The sequence below is a fragment of the Homo sapiens genome, chromosome 14, assembly GCF_000001405.40.
Source record: "Homo sapiens chromosome 14, GRCh38.p14 Primary Assembly".
NCBI lineage: Eukaryota > Metazoa > Chordata > Mammalia > Primates > Hominidae > Homo > Homo sapiens.
This window is the reverse complement of record NC_000014.9, coordinates 44,911,918-44,929,249: the sequence shown is the minus strand read 5'-3', so window position 1 is coordinate 44,929,249 and position 17,332 is coordinate 44,911,918. Positions and strand designations below refer to the sequence as shown.

Genomic DNA, 17,332 nt, shown 5'->3' with positions numbered 1-17,332 from the left:
GAAAAAGTATACTTCATGGTTAACATGTTTCTATCTTCTTTTTGCCAACCTTTCCTAGGAGTTGGTGCTGCTGTAATCGATAACTACCTTTATGTCGTCGGTGGTCACTCAGGGTCTTCCTATCTGAATACAGTGCAGAAATATGATCCTATCTCAGATACGTGGCTGGATTCAGCTGGCATGATATACTGTCGCTGCAACTTTGGGTTAACTGCACTTTGACAAATGTGAACTCTCGGAAATAGTATGGTGGTGAAACTTGTACTGCATGAACATCCGGATGGCCCAGTTTTCTGAAACCCACAAGCTGCATTGCTTTCTTTTTAACTTGAAGTAGCATGAAGGCTCAAAAGTTTTGTTGGGTACTTTTAATTGAGAAGTAGTTTTGGTTGCTCTTGATTACACAGTAAATCAATAATCAAAAAGAAAAAAGAGAAAAAAAAAAAGTAAAGACTTTGCCAATTGAATTCTGCACTTTTTCCCCCAAGACTGAGATGTACTAGTTTTATGTTCATAAGTGTACATGTAGACAAAACGTGGCTGCTTTTTTTTTTTTTTTTTTTTTATTTTAGCTCTCCTTCCCTGATAACCATGATTTTCTAGGATGAGCGATGCTTTAGGTGCTGGAGTGTATTGAATGAATGGACAGAGTGCTGATACTGCTTCTTGGATGTAAATGCTTCACATTTTTCATTTGTTTTAAAACAAACAAAGGGCTGCTTTTTATTTTGGTACTTTTAAAGGTTGTAAATAACATGCCAATAGGTAGTCATCTGAATACTTTCCTGCTAAATGGTTTTAGGGCTACGGATGTAATAAATTTTTAAGACAATTGCTTTTATTATCATGATATTTGGGGCCCTATTTTAGGAAATCAGATATTTACTGTTTATGCCTTTTGTATATGGGCAGGTTAACGTTGGATGAATTTAATTACCTATCTATGCTATGGTTAGCATGGATAGGAGTTTAAGCATATCAGGTGTTTCAGTTTTTCTTCAGTAGTACAGCAGGCCTCCCAGTGCTGATGTAAATATTTGAGCAGTGTTTAGTACCATTCTTAGTGCATATTAATTTTTTTATATATCCTTATAATTTTAGTTTTTTAAGATCTTTGCTTTTTCAAAGTGTTCAGATATAAAATGGTGCTAACTGTAGGATTTATAACAAGGCTATAACTGATGTCCTTTTGGATGTTCAGTATGAGATATGCATGACATGTTTTGATAGTCTTTTGCATTTTTAATGGCTTGATTCATTTGTGCTTATTAAAAATGTTAGTGATTACGCCAATGTTAACATCCAAAAATCATCAGAATGGCCTGTGTTATGCTTTTCATGGTTCCTGAATAGTGATTTAAAGAAAGTTACACTTTTGATCTTCTTTCTTCTTGTGCTAGATATTACATGTCTTTCTTAAAAACAGAAATATATGCATTAAATATAAAGCACTAGGCAGTTATGCATTACTTTGTACATTTCTTAGGTAACTGAATATTTTAAGGTTATTGAGGAAAACTGGAACTCGATGTTTACTTGAGTAATAGTTCTAAGTTGAGTTCTACTTTGATTAAAGAAATGATCTTTTAAAGCAAAATTGTTTGCTGTAGCCAGTGACAGCTTATTTAAAGAAAGTGTTTAACTTATTTGATTTTAGCATGTTTTAGTAAATGTCTGTTAGTCTTAAACACATTCACTTGCATTTTATTATTATGTCGGTACTTGTATTTTGGAACTGTAGTCATTTGATTTTCTTTTCCTTGATTTTTTTTAAACCTGTTTGCGATCTCCTTATAAAGTCTCTGCAAGATAATTTTTCTTAAGAAAAAAATTCATATTATATTCTTAAGTGCCATAATGTTCTAGACTATTGTTAAGAAGCCATTTGTAATTATAAAACATAGGTTCATTTGTTAGTATATATGTTTATTTCTTGAATACTATAGCCGGGCAATTTACAGTTCTTTGTTCTTCCATAAACTGCCAGTTGTAGATTTGAATATATACTACAAAACTATGTAAAATCATTTTTAATCATAAATGTAGTATCATGCTTTATGAATATTTGCACAGATTATAAAACCTTGCAAGTGATTTTTAGTCTCTTCTAATTTAGAACTCAACAGGAGCAACTAATAACAATTGATAGTCTGAGTATTTTCTATGTTGCTTGTCTGAATAACATAATAATATATAGCAATAACTTTTTCATTGATTTGAATAAATCTATTGCATAGAAATAGGTGCACTATTGTAGTTGGCCCAGACTTTATTTAAAGAAAAGCAGTTTAAAATAGATTCATCACATATTTAGTTTTAAATCCCCAATTCAGTTTTCTTTGTTTATAGCAATCAAATTATTAAATATATCCTATTATACTATTTTTAATCCCCTATTCCCAAAAGATAAGGGAATTTGAAAGACTGTGGAAAATGATTTTAGGACGGGCGCAGTGGCTCACGCCTGTAATCCCAGCACTTGGAGAGGCCAAGGCGGGTATATCACCTGAGGTCAGGAGTTCGAGACCAGCCTGGCCAACATGGTGAAACCCCGTCTCTACTAAAAATACAAAAAATTAGCTGGGCATTGTGGCAGGTACCTGTAATCCCAGCTACTTGGGAGGCTGAGGCAGGAGAATCACTTGAACCCAGGAGGCAGAGGTTGCAGTGAGCCGAGCTTGCACCATTGCACTCCAGCCTGGGCAACAAGAGTGAAACTCCACCTCAAAAAAAAAAAAAGATTTTAATTATAAACACATCTATTCTATACATTGTATTTTAACAATATTTTACTCATGTATCATCTCCACTATCAAATTAGTGTATAATCATTTGGTAAATTAGATCAAAAACATATACTGGTCATTGTTTTTGAAAAATCTAAATTTCATCTTGATGAAGACTAAATGTGAAATATCTTGGGCAGTAGTAGTAGGAGCCATACACCAGTGAACAAATTATGAAAATCTGTGAAAGGAAGAGGAAAAATGTTCAAAATTTAGAAGTATATTTATTTTAGGATTGCTTAACCTACTGTATTATTCGTAACAACCAGAGCTACTAATCTGACCTGACAACTAATATGTTTACATTAGCGCCTTCTTTTACAAATTTGTGAGAAGTTTCATTATGAACACTCTGCTGACAAATTGTGAATTTAAAGCCACATGTTTCTATGTTAAAAAGGATCAAAATGTTTGGTTATAAATCCTCAGGATTAAAAGTATTAGAAATAATTTTACATATTCAGGCAAGAAGAGAAAAGCTATTTAAGATTTCCCAGAAATATTTTGGAAAAGAGCAGCACTGGGAAATAGAAATTAATGTAATCAGTTGCAAGATACTTGCCTTCTATAATTATAACAACTTAATCTGTTAGGCACCTTTGGCTATTCAATAATCATTGGATGTTGTAATAGAATGTAAGTGGCTTTTAATGTAGCTCCAAGGATATTTATAAATTGTGTTATTGCTGTTATTGTTTTAAATGTGAGTGAATATTAAATTATAGGAAGTGGTATCAAGTGATAGGAAAATGGCATTAGGTTTTGAAATTTTATTTTGATAATTTAACACATATGGAGGGTTTGCTATATGTATGAGATATTCTGTTAGATGCTGTGGGAGCTAGAGAGATATACTCTTTTTCACTCAAAGAGAGTAAAATATAGTGGGAGAGACCCTAATAACTATTTTGGTGAAGGATGAATCTAATTCCTTATCTCTGACATCGTAAGAAGTGATTAGAGACCTAGTTTATGCATAAGCAATTCCTTAGTGTCCAATTAGGTTTTATTGGCATGAAAAAGAAATATTAAAAAACCTAATATTTATAGAACTCCAAATCTCCTAGAATTGGATAATGTATTTTCTAGTAAGAAAACTATAGAAATTTTAAATATATATATTTCCTGTAGTATCAAGACTCTGGCTGACATTGAGAGAAATATATGTACATGTTGTGTTTATTTTCAGTTTTGGTGTTGGATTCCTGGTATTGTCACCTAAGTGCTCATTTTCAGGAAAATCAGATTCTACAATAAACACTTACTGCTTAAAGTTCAGTAAACTTGTGATAACCTCATAACCTCTGTAGTCTAAAAGTTAAGGAATTATAAGATGTCACATGTCAAGTTAACATCCAGTTCTACTTCTTAACCTTTTTTCCCTTTGTAAACAGCACTTTAATTAGACATGATTTAATTAGATAACAATTATTCCATGGCTGGATATGTACTGGATTTTCACTTACAGTACATTGATTTGGTGTTGATACACATTTGAAAAGAGTGAGGAATACAATACATTTTTAATACAATAGGTTTACAAATTTTCCTACTGGTGTGAATATGGAGTCAAATAAAAATCCAGTTTACATCTCTGCAGAGAGAAAAATTGTTATCCATATGTCTTTTATATTATACATCTTTACTAGAGATAACTTATTGTTAATTTTGTCAAGTTATGTGTAAGTCCCATTTATTTTTAAATACTAAGCAAAAAGTTCCAAGTTTGCCTTAAAATACAAGTGAAGTTAAAGAACTGGATGATAATGCCTATATTTTTGCCTTATGAATTGTGCTGTGTATTATAAACCAGCAACGGTTTTGATTTTAACAGGATTCTGAAATTTTGTAGCTGTAGAGTACTAATATTTGTACTCTCTTGCAAAGAATGTGATCTAGTTGTGGATTATGTTAGTTTAAATGTTTTTGTATATGTATTTTACCTCTGAACATGTACCTTTTTAGCATCAGGGTTTTATTTTATTTATGTTTACACACTAAAGTGTCATTTAACTAGTTAAGAATTGTATTCTTTTTTATTTTAAAGGTTATTTGTGTGTATCATTGTGGTAATGTTCTGTAATTATTATGGTTAAATTTCATTTAATGTAAAATGTTTAAAATAAAAATGAAAAATCTACTTTGTATATGTCATATGATAATTGTGAACTGAACCAAGCTAACTTTGTCATGCTCAGCTCTTAGGGTTTTATGCATAGATAGGTAGTAGCCATAGAGTAGCCACTCCTTTACATCTTCATTAGCAGGTTACAGTGAAAACATGTCTTAGGCCCGGCCTGGCTCAGTGGCTCACACCTGTAACCCCAGCACTTTTGGAGGCTGAGGCGGGCAGATCACCTGAGGTCAGTAGTTTGAGACCAGCCTGGCCAACATGCTGAAACCCCGTCTCTACTAAAAATACAAAAATTAGCTGGGCATGTTGGCGTATGCCTGTAATTCCAGCTACTTAGGAGGCTGAGGCAGGGGAATCGCTTGAACCTGGGAGGCAGAGGTTGCAGTGAGCCGAGATGGCGCCATTGCATTCCAGCCTGGACAACAGAGCAAGACTCCATCTCAAAAAAAAAAAGAAAATATGTCATAGGCCAAATTCTGCCACACATTCAGACGTTTACTAAAGAAACATTCATAAGTATAACAGGAGTAAAAGTGTTCAGTAAGCCCATTGCAGTCCCAGCTTTCTGTTCTTTTAGATTCTCTAACCAGCCTTTTAAGAAAGGTTTACTCGAGGCAGACATAGTAATATCCAAGAGGATTTCATTACTTTTATGGTCAGCATCGGGTAACCAGCAATCAAAGAAACAAGCAGTTGAGACTTGGGTGCCTTTTCTTAGGAAGTGGCAAATTACAGGCCTGAATGGATTCAGTCTTTATGAGTAAAAGTAACTTTCCTTTTTTCTTTTTTTTTTGAGATAGTCTCACTTTGTTGCACAGGCTAGAGTGCAGTGGCAGTGGCACAGTCTTGGCCACTCACTGCAGCCTCCATTTCTTGGACTCAAATGATCCTACTGCCTCAGCCTCCTGAGTAGCTGGAAGTACAGGTGTGGGCCACCACCTGGCTAATTTTTTTAATTTTTATTTTGTAGAGATGAGGTCTCGCTATGTTGGCCAGGGTGTTCTGGAACTCCTTGCCTCAAGTCATCCTCCCACCTCGGCCTCTGAAAGTGCTGGATTTCTGGATTTATAGGCAAGAGCCACCATGCCAGGTCAAGAGCAACTTTTTGATATTGTAGTCGATGAGCCACTTCCCCAAGAAATGCTCCCGACATTTAATATGCTAATTAACAAAGCATTGGATACTGATTAGATTATGGATAGATAACAGGAGTACTTGAAGTTGCTTTCAGCATGAATTTCCTAGATAGAATGCTAGCTAGCCACCTGTTAACTCCAGTCTTTTAAAAAATTATAAAAATAATTTGCTATGATACATAATAGTTGTACATACTTATGGGGTACGGATGGTATTTTGATACAAAATATGCAGTGATCAAATGGGTAACTGGGGTATCCATCACCCCAAACGTTTATCACTTGTGTTAGGAACATTCCAATTCTACTCTTTTCGTTATTTTGAAATATGCAATAAATTAATGTTAACTATAGTTTCCCTATTGTGCTACCGAACACTAGATTTTTTTTAAAAAAAAAATTATTTTATTATAAGTTCCAGGATACATGTGGAAGACCTCAGGTTTGTTACATTTGTAAACGTGTACCATGGTGGTTTACTGCACCTATTAACACATCACCTAGGTATTAAGCTCCACATGCGTTAGTTACTTATCCTGATGCTCTCCCTTCCTTTGTCCCCCCCCACAGGCCCCGTGTGTGTTGCCAAACACTAGGTCTTATTCCATTTAACTGTATTTTTGTACCCATTAACCATCCCCTCTTTTCCCTTTTCCCCACTACCCTTCCCAGTCTCTGGTAATCATCATTCTATTCTCTTCCTCCATGAGTTCAAGTTTTTATTGCTCCTATATGAGTGAGGGCGTGCAATATTTGTCTGGCTTATTTCACTTAACATAATGTCCTTCATTTCTATCCTATTGCTTCAGATGACAGGATTTTATTCTTTTTATGGCTGAATAGTCCATTGTACATATGTACCACATTTTATCCATTCAACCACTGATGCACACTTAGATTGATTCTGTATCTTGGCTATTGTGACTAGTGCTGCAATCAACATGGGAGTGCAGACATCTTTTTGATACACTGATTGCCTTTCTTTTGATATTAAGGACGTCAACTGCATTCTTGATGAGAGCAACTCCTAGAGTTGAAGTTGGAACTTAACAGACATATCCTGAAGTGTTTAAAATGTATTATAGATGACACAGAAAATGTAAATAATGCATTTTGAATGGAGTACACATTAAAATATTGAAATTGAGATTTCTTGGCCACATAGATGCTTTTTTAGTTTTGCCTTTTTATTCTAATGCATGCAGAAATAGCTTTCACATTACCCAGAAGTCATTGTAAAATTGGTCAGCTGACAGTATTGAGAGTTTAGTATGTGTAAGACATGGTGGAAGGTGTAAAGGAGTTATTTAAAGGAGTTTAAAGACATATCCCACAATCCACTAGAGGAATGTAAAAGTCACCTCAGATTTTTTTCCCCCTGGAAGGGAGAATAGAGAAAAGTGCTAGTCTGGCAGAGGTCTAGTTATGTCTCTTGGGTTCTTTCATAAAATTACTAGATGGTCCTCTCCTTTGCGGCAGTAATAGGGGTGGAAGTTTCTTTTTCTTTTTTTTTTTTTTTCAGGCAAATAAGAAAAATGTTTATATTGTTGATTTTTTTTTCCTGCTGCAGTAGTTTTTTTTTTTTTACACTTTAAGTTTTAGGGTACATGTGCACAATGTGCAGGTTTGTTACATATGTATACATGTGCCATGTTGGTGTGCTGCACCCATTAACTCCTCATTTAGCATTAGGTATATCTCCTAATGCTATCCCTCCCCCCTCCCCCCACCACACAACAGTCCCCGATAGGGGTGGAAGTTTCAACTCTAATGTGGAAAACTGTGATGAGTAGATTTTAGGAGTCAGCAATAGACTGGTAATGGAATACAAAAAAAAACAAAACCCTCCAGTGCAGAGCCAGAACTCAAGTCTAGGAGTAAAATTGAGTGGTGTGATGAGAAGACAATATGTATTAGAACAGCTCAAGTGAGTTTTGATATGTCTTCCAGGCTTTTTATTTTTTTTCTTTTTAATAGAAATGAAACCTTCACACACCCATCTCCCAGCGTCAACTATTAATGACATTTTGCTAATCCTATTTCATCTATTCACTCCACTTTTGTTTTTGCTGGAATATTTTAAAGAAAATCCCAGACATCATGTGATATAACCAGTAAATAAATGAGGCTGCTTCTCTAACTGATAAGGACACTTTAAAATTTTATTCTAAAAATAACAAAAAACTTTTCTATAAGCCACACTAATATATTCACACTGAAAAGTTACTACTTTTGTTAATATTTAGTACCTAGTCTATATTCAAACTTCCATGATTATCTCAAAAATTTTTTTGATTACCATTGGTTGCTTTAATTCTGGGTCTAAATGAGGTTTATTCATTGTATTTGACTGTTATGTCTCTTAAATCCCTTTTAATCTCTACCAGTCACTACCTCTCACCCCCTTTTTTTCATGCCATGTATTTGTTGAGGAAATTAGGCCATTTGCCTAGTAGATTGCCCCACATGCTGGATTTAGTTTTTTTTTTTTTTTAATTGGTATAGGTGGATGTAGACTTTTGTTTAGATTCATGTTCTTTTTTTTTGTCAAGCATAATTGATGCAGTATATATTTCCTATTGCATTGCATCATAAGGTATATTATGTCTGGTTATCTCACTTTTAGTTATGTTAGGATTAATTTTTAGGCGTGAGTTTCAGGTGTTAACCTGATCCCTCCATTATCAAGTTCCCCATCAAACTCTCTCCTGATGGTTTTAGCGGCTCTTGATGGCCACAACTGGATCTGTTATTAGGTTGGTGCCAATGTAATTGTGCTTTTTGCCTTTTAAAGTAACGGCAAAGACCGCAGTTACTTTTGCACCAAACCTAATACTACATTAGGAGTTACAAATGGTGATTTTTCCAATTCTGTCATTTCTTCTGCATTTATTAGCTGGAATCCCATAAAGGAAAGCACTTCCTCATCCATCACTTATCTGGTTACTCTGAGATACATTATATACAAGAATGGCAGGGGAAAATGTTTAATTCATTCCTTTCTCAATCTTCAGAGTAATGAACTGCTGACCTAGCAACCTTCAACGATGATTAAGTATCATGAAACCAAAAATTTTTACGTATCTGTTTCAATACATGCATTTCAATTAATTGTCCATCTTAGTCCTGTGGATACCCACTAAGTTCCATTGAAAGTTTCCTTTCTTTTTTTAAGAAAAAGTACCAACAAATTATTAAATTATTTGAAATAATTTAAAATATTGTCAAATATACAGAAAAGTTGTTAAAACTCTTGTATACTTTTTCCAAGATTAACCAATTTTGAGCATTTGGCTTCATTTGTTTTTAGAATGTTTTCTCATTTTTTTCAAGCCATTTGAAAGTCAGTTGAATACATTATGTCCTTTTATGCTTTAATACTTCAGTGTATGTGTCTTAAGAAAAAAGATATTCTCTCCTGTAACCACAATTCAGGTATCAAATTCAGGTATCCTTGTGTTTTAGTTCTTTTACATTTTCTTCCCCAAATCCAGAATCACCTATTCCTTTAAGGGCCCATGATACCTTCTGCTAGGGAAAGGTATTTAGAGATCCCAGTATGGGTGCTAGGGGTGCTTTCTCATTTGTCCTTGCTTATAGGCTATTCAGTAGGCAGAGTCAGGAAATACTTTATTTTTTATTTTTTTAATTTTTAAGAGAGAGGTAAAGGGCTTTTACTTAAATGCTTTGATTTTAATATATCTTTTTTTTTTTTTTTTTTTTTTGAGACGGAGTCTCGCTGTCTCCCAGGCTGGAAGGCTGGAGTGCAGTGGCGCAAACTAGGCTCACTCCAATCCCTCCAAGCTCTGCCTCCTGGATTCATGCCATTCTCCTGCCTCAGCCTCCCGAGTAGCTGGGACTACAGGTGCCCACCACCACACCCGGCTAATTTTTTGTATTTTTAGTAGAAACGGGGTTTCACCCTGTTAGCCAGGATGGTCTCCATCTCCTGACCTCGTGATCCACCTGCCTTGGCCTCCCAAAGTGCTGGGATTACAGGCGTGAGCCACTGCGCCCGGCCATATATCTTTTTTTAGTCTGAAAATATTGGTCTAGCAACATTGACATAATTACCTATTTGATTTATCTTACAACATATGTATAATAGTTTCAAATTAGCAATACTGATATAGCTATAAATACTACCAATAAATAATAAGACCAAAAGTTAAGACTGTTATTATTCCATCCTTAAATTATATTTTACAAGGATGTATGATACGAACACTGGCTTTAGAGTCAAATGAAGTAATCCTTTTCTTTGGTTAATAACCTAATGAATGTATAGTTAGGTTATTTTGATTCAGCTTTTAATTTTTAGGGATATACTTTTTGATTTAATTTTTAATTACATATAATATTTACTTGACTCTAGAGTAGAAACTATATGACAAGATGCATTCACAGAAATTTTTTCTGCATTTTCATCTTTTCCACCATGTTCAGTTTATTTCTCTATAGGTAATAACTTTTATTAGATGTTGGTTTCATTGTTTCATTTTTAAAATAAAATACCATTTTCTCCATTTTCTTACAAAAAGGATAGCATACTACAAAAACACTTTTTTTCACTTAATATGTTCTGGAGATTTTTCCATATCAATATATTGAGATCATTCTTACTCTTTTTTACAGTTGCACAGCACTTTGCTGTGTGGATATACCATAGGTTTTTAACTAGTCTACTGATGGACATTTGAGTTGTTTTCAGACCGTTGCCTTTACAAATAATGAATGTGATGAACTGCCTTGTGCATTTGTCAAAATGGCTTTTTAGAAGTGGAATTGCTGGGCCAGGGTGGATGACATCAACATTGCTAGATCTTGTCCAGTTCTTCTAAAAGGTTGTTCCATTTTGCATACCTGTCGGCAATAGACAAGAGTGCCTTACAAGCTGTTTTGTTGTTGTTGTTTTGAGACACAGTCTCATTCTATTGCCCAGGCTGGAGTGCAGTGGTGCGATCTCGGCTCACTGCAACCTCCGCCTCCTGGGTTCCAGCGATTCTCGTGCCTCAGCCTACCAAGTAGCTGGGACCACAGGTGAGCACTACCACACCTGGCTAATTTTTGAATTTTTAGTAGAGACAGGGTTTCACCATGTTGCCCGGGCTGGTCTCAAACTCCTGACCTCAGGTGATCTGCCCACCTTGGCTTCCCAAAGTGCTGGGATTACAGATGTGAGCCACTGCACCTGGCCTTACAGGCTGTTTTTATTAGTCTCCCTACTTGGGCTTGTTAAAAGGTGTCAGCTGGCCTCAGGTTCATTTTGGCTTAAACTATGTCTAACATTAAAATATAGTTAAAGAATTGAAAAGCTTCTTATGCTTTAATGCACATCAAAAGCTGATTTAAATATCTTACTGAGTAAGGCAGGACGTAAATAAGGATGGACCAATCACTTTTGTCTCTGATCAGGAAAGAAGTCTTATAAAGTATATTCTTGTGTGTGCCCTGAGAAGAGTTAAGAATTTAAATAGGCAAGGGTCCTAGAATTTTATATAGAGTAGGTGGTTCCCACTGAATAGAGGAGTATGTCTGGGAAAAGTTTTATAGCCAGATTTTAAAAGACCAATATCATATATGTCTATATATACGTATATGTGTATGTCTATATATAGATATATGTGTATATCTATATATGTCTAAGACATATAGAAATATATATCAAAGTCATATATACACACACTATATGTGTATATATACATATGTACACACACTATATACGTATATACGCACATATATGGTGTATATACGTATATACACACACACAGTGCGTGTGTGCGTGTACACACACACAGTGCGTGTGTGCGTGTACACACACACAGTGCGTGTGTGTGTGTACACAGTGTATATATGTGTGTGTACATAGTGTATATATGTGTGTGTACACAGTGTATATATGTGTGTACACACAGTGTATATGTGTGTACACACACAGTGTATATATGTGAGTGTACACACAGTGTATATATGTACACACACAGTGTATATATGTGAGTGTACACACACATAGTGTATATATGTACACACACAGTGTATATATGTGAGTGTACACACACAGTGTATATATGTATGTGTACACACACATAGTGTATATATGTGTGTATACACACACATATATAGTGTATATATGTGTGTATATACACACACATATATAGTGTATTTATGTGTGTGTATATACACACACATATATAGTGCATATATGTGTGTGTATATACACACACATATATAGTGCGTATATGTGTGTGTATATACACACATATATAGTGCGTATATGTGTGTGTATACACACATATATAGTGCGTATATGTGTGTGTATACACACATATATAGTGCGTATATGTGTGTGTATACACATATATAGTGTGTATATGTGTGTGTATATACACACATATATAGTGTGTATATGTGTGTATACACACATATATAGTGTGTATATGTGTGTATACACACACATATATAGTGTGTATATGTGTGAATACACACATATATAGTGTGTATATGTGTGTGTATACACACATATATAGTGTGTATATGTGTGTGTATACACACATATATAGTGTGTATATGTGTGTGTGTATACACACATATATAGTGTGTATGTGTGTGTGTGTACACACATATATAGTGTGTATGTGTGTGTGTGTACACACATATATAGTGTGTATATGTGTGTGTGTGTACACACATATATAGTGTGTATATGTGTGTGTGTGTACACACATATATAGTGTGTATATGTGTGTGTGTGTACACACATATATAGTGTGTATATGTGTGTGTGTGTACACACATATATAGTGTGTATATGTGTGTGTGTGTACACACATATATAGTGTGTATATGTGTGTGTGTACACACATATATAGTGTGTATGTGTGTGTGTGTGTACACACATATATAGTGTGTATGTGTGTGTGTGTGTACACACATATATAGTGTGTGTGTGTGTGTGTACACACATATATAGTGTGTATATGTGTGTGTATATACACACATATATAGTGTGTATATGTGTGTGTATATACACACATATATAGTGTGTATATGTGTATGTATACATGGTGGTATCTTAGTTCATTTGGACTGCTGTAACAAAATACCATAAACTGAGTAGCTTATAAGCAACAGAAATTATTTCCCACAGTTCTGGAGGCTGGGAAGTCCAAGATAAAGGCAGATTTGGTTTCTGGTAAGAACACTTTTTTTCTGGTTCATAGGCGTAATCTTGCTATGCCTTCACATGGTAGTAGGAGTGTGGCATCTCTCTTGGGTCTTTTTTCTAAGGGCACTAATCCCATCCAGGAGGGCTCCACTGTCATGACCTAATTGCCTTGCCCCACCTCCTAATGCCATCATTTTGGGGATGAGAGTTTCAACATATGAATTGTGGGCAGACATAAACACTGAAGACTATGGTAGGGGGATAAACAATTTTGGATAGTATCTGGTGGTTAAATGGTTAAAGATTTTGAACAGGAACAATATGGGATATTTTACCATTTGATGTCTAGGAAACTTTATTCACTTTCTCTTCAAATTTTTGCTTTGCTTTGTTCTTGCATTTTAAACTAATTCATGTATTTAACTTTTTAAAACTATTTTTACATTGTAATTTGTTCTGTGATCTTCATTTCCACAGAAATACCAGCAATGGTTTTCAGCCAACAAACTTGAAATATTTGCATAGAATTTAATTTTCTGCAACAACACTACACACTAATTTGCTGTAATTTCTTAATAAAATATTGAAAGAGGAATCCATAATGGTAATGTTACTGGGTGGGAAGTTCTTAACTGTGAATTGTCCAGGTTCTTGGCGTGTTGAACAAAGAATTGAACAAAATACACAAAGTAACAAAAGAAAGAAACAACAAAAGACAAAGCAACAAAAGAATAGAGTAATGAAAACACAGATTCATTGTAGTGAAAGTACATTCCACAGACTGGGAATGGGCTTCAAGAGGCAGCTCAAGAGTCCCGCTACTGAAATGCTCCCCAAGGTTTTTATAAAGCCAAAAGAACATGGGCAACACCCCTACATAACATTTGGAGGCCTCCAGTTGGTTACACCCTATGAAGGATTGGCCTACGACCAACCAGAGGCTGAAGTGGAGGCTTGCCCTGCAGTCAATCACAGATTGAAGCGGAAACTTCTGTCTTGTTATCACAGGAGCCAAGATGTAGCCTGTATGCTGCCTAATCTTGCCTAGAACTATCTGCGCCTGCTGTTCTTTTGCTTATGCATTAACCCTTGGTTACCCTAATTCCCTATTCTCCTGCCTCAGCAGCTAGCACTTTCATAGTGCTTACTATGTGTCAGGCAGTAAGTGCTATATATAGTAATTCATTTAATCCTCACTACAACCTTATGAGATATATTCTAGTATTATCTCCACTTTACAGTGAGGAAACAAATAGGTTAAGTCACATGCCCAAAGCTACACAGCCCATGACTGAGCCTGGATTTGAATCCAGGCAATCTAACTTCAAAATCCGGATTTAACTGCCATATTCTTGCCTTTCCTCGACAGCCTGAAAACACAATCAATCAAGAACTAATGATAAAAGAGATAATTCATTGATCATATAGCATGATTCACTTAGTCTGCAAATCCAGTCTTTTTCCTGGGTGAAAAAGGACAATCCTAAATTAGGTCTTCTGGCATTTTATAAGCTTGCTGAGGATAAAATTCCTAAGCCTTCTCAAAAAGAGAGCTGAAGGAAGAGGGGGAAATTTCAGAAGCCATGAGGGTTGGGAGGAAATAGGTGAAGAAACCCCAGGGGTCAGTTTACAAATAATATTTTAGCGGGAATGTTGGCAGAGAGCACAGCCAACTTTATCAAACGCATCTTGGTTGTATATTTCCCCCGACTTATGAGTAGGTAGTATCACAGAACAGAAGGAAAATTTGCTCGCATCACCCAAATTATAAAGTAAGTTAATAGCTGGTCGTGGTGGCTCACACCTGTAATCCCAGCACTTTGGAAGGCAAAGGCGGGTAGTTCACTTGAGGTCAGGAGTTTGAAACCAGCCTAGCCAACAGTACAATTTTTGTACTAAAAATACTAAAACACAAAATACAAAATACTAAAAATAAAAAAATTAGCCAGGCATGGTGGCACATGCCTGTAGTCCCAGCTACTCGAGAGGCTGAGGCAGGAGAATGGCTTGAACCCGGGAGGCAGAGGTTGCAGTGAGCTGCGCCATTGCACTCCAGCCTGGGCAACAGAGCGAGACTCTGTCACACATACACACACTAAAAGTAGGTGAATACTTTTAAGGCCAAAAAAGTTCAGGTATTGTTTTCTCTCCAGGTCCTTTACATTCTATGCCGTGGAGCTTCTACCACCTAGTGTTTTTGAAGAATACTGCAGGAGCTGGGAATCAGTCCTTTTCCTTCAGAATTCCAGCGGACATTTACCAAGTGCTTAAAGAAGGCCCGGCGGGGCGCAAGGGCTCACGCCTGTATAATCCCAGCACTTTTTAACGCCGAGGCGGGTGGATCAACTGGAGGCTAGCGTTTCGAGACCAACCTGGCCAACATGGTGAAACCCCATCTCTACTAAAACACAAAAAAATTAGCCAGGCATGGTGGCGAGCCCCTGCAGTCCCAGCTACTCGGAAGGCTTGAGCCCGAAAATTGCTTGAGCGCGGGAGGCGGAGGTTGCAGTGAACCGAGATTGCACCACTGCACTCCAGCCTGGGCCACAGAGCCAGACTCTGTCTCAAAATACTACTACCACTACTACTACTACCACTACTACTACTACTAGTAAAGAAGGCTTATCCCAAGTGACCCTCTCACATATTCCCTATTATCAGAAAGAGAAAAAAATTGAGGTTAATTTGTGTGGATTACTTTAGCTGTGACATATTTTCTTAAAATTTGAAGGTGTTTGAAAATTTTTTATCTTTAAATGTAAGGCTTATAGCATTCTAGTAGAAATAATGGCAGTTAGGCTTTGGGGGTAGAAGAAATAGTACTGTGTCCGGAGTTGGTGGGTTCCTGGTGTTGCTGGTTTCAGGACTGAAGCTGCAAACCTTCATGGTAAGTGTTAGAGCCCATAAAGGCAGCACGGACCCAAAAAGCGAGCAACAGGAAGATTACTGCAAACTGCAAAAAAACAAAATTTCCACAGCCTGGAAGAGGACAAAAACCAGCTGCCTGCTTTTATTCCCTTATCTGACCCCACCCACATCCTGCTGATTGGTCTATTTTACAGAGAGCTGATTGGCCCATTTTACAGAGAGCTGATTGGCCCATTTTACAGAGAGCTGATTGGCCCATTTTGACAGGGTGCTGATTGGTGCGTTTACAAACCTTGAGCGAGACACAGAGTACTGATTGGTGCATTTATAATCCTTTAGCTAGACAAGGAAGTTCTCCAAGTCCCCACTAGATTAGCTAGACACAGAGCACTGATTGGTGCGTTTACAAACTTTGAGCTAGACACAGGGTGCTGATTGGTGCGTTTACAAACCTTGAGATAGACACAAAGTGCTGATTGGTGCATTTACAAACCTTTAGCTAGACATAAAAGTTCTCCAAGTGCCCACCCCACTCAGGAACCCAGCTGGCTTCCCTAGTGGGTCTGGTGTAGGTCCGCTGGCGGAGCTGCCAGCCGGACACACGCCCCACGCCCGCACTTCTCAGCCCTTCCGCGGTCCATGGGTCCGGCCGTCGTGGAGCAGGGGGCGGCGCCCGTCGGGGAGGCTCCAGCCGCGCGGGAGCCAACGGTGAGGGGGCTCAAGCATGGTGGGCTGCAGGTCCCGAGCCTTGCCCTGCGGGGAGGCGGGTGAGGCGCGGCGAGAATTCGATCGCGGCGCGGGCGGGCCTGCCGTGCTGGGGGAGCCGGGGCACCCTCCGCAGCTGCTGGCCCCGGTGCTAAGCCCCTTACTGCTGGTGGCCGGTGGCGCGGCCGGCCGCTCCGAGTGCGGGCCCGCCTAGCCCAGCGCCCACCCGGAACCGGCGCCGGCCCGTGAGCACCGCGTGCAGCACCGGCTCCCGCCCGCGCCTTTCTCTCCACACCTCCCTGCGAGGAGAGGGAGCCGGCTGCGGCCTCGGCCAGTCCCATAGTGGGACCCCTCCAGCGCAGCGGACGGCTGAAGGGGTCCTTGAGCGCGGCCACTGCTTGAGCGCGGCCAGAGTGGACGCCGAGGCCGAGGAGGCGCGGAGAGAGAGCGAGGACTGCTAGCACGTTGTCACCTCTCAGTACTATATAATTGTCTTTGAAATAGTACTCTGTAATTGTAGAGGTAGAGGAAATAGTAC

General features: G+C 37.6%; 1 protein-coding gene across 7 annotated transcripts in view; it reads left to right on the top strand.

Annotated features, from left to right (window-relative positions):
* The window catches only part of KLHL28 (kelch like family member 28), a 37,624-nt gene extending 32,698 nt beyond the window's left edge, over nucleotides 1–4,926 (top strand). For all 7 annotated transcript variants that reach the window (XM_024449635.2, NM_017658.5, XM_011536847.4 and 4 more), the window contains one exon: nucleotides 59–4,926. In XM_024449635.2, coding sequence (XP_024305403.1) covers nucleotides 59–83 — 25 coding nt within the window. In that variant the 3' untranslated portion in view covers nucleotides 84–4,926. The remainder of the gene's footprint in view (nucleotides 1–58) is intronic.
* The last annotated feature ends 12,406 nt before the right edge of the window (nucleotides 4,927–17,332 follow it).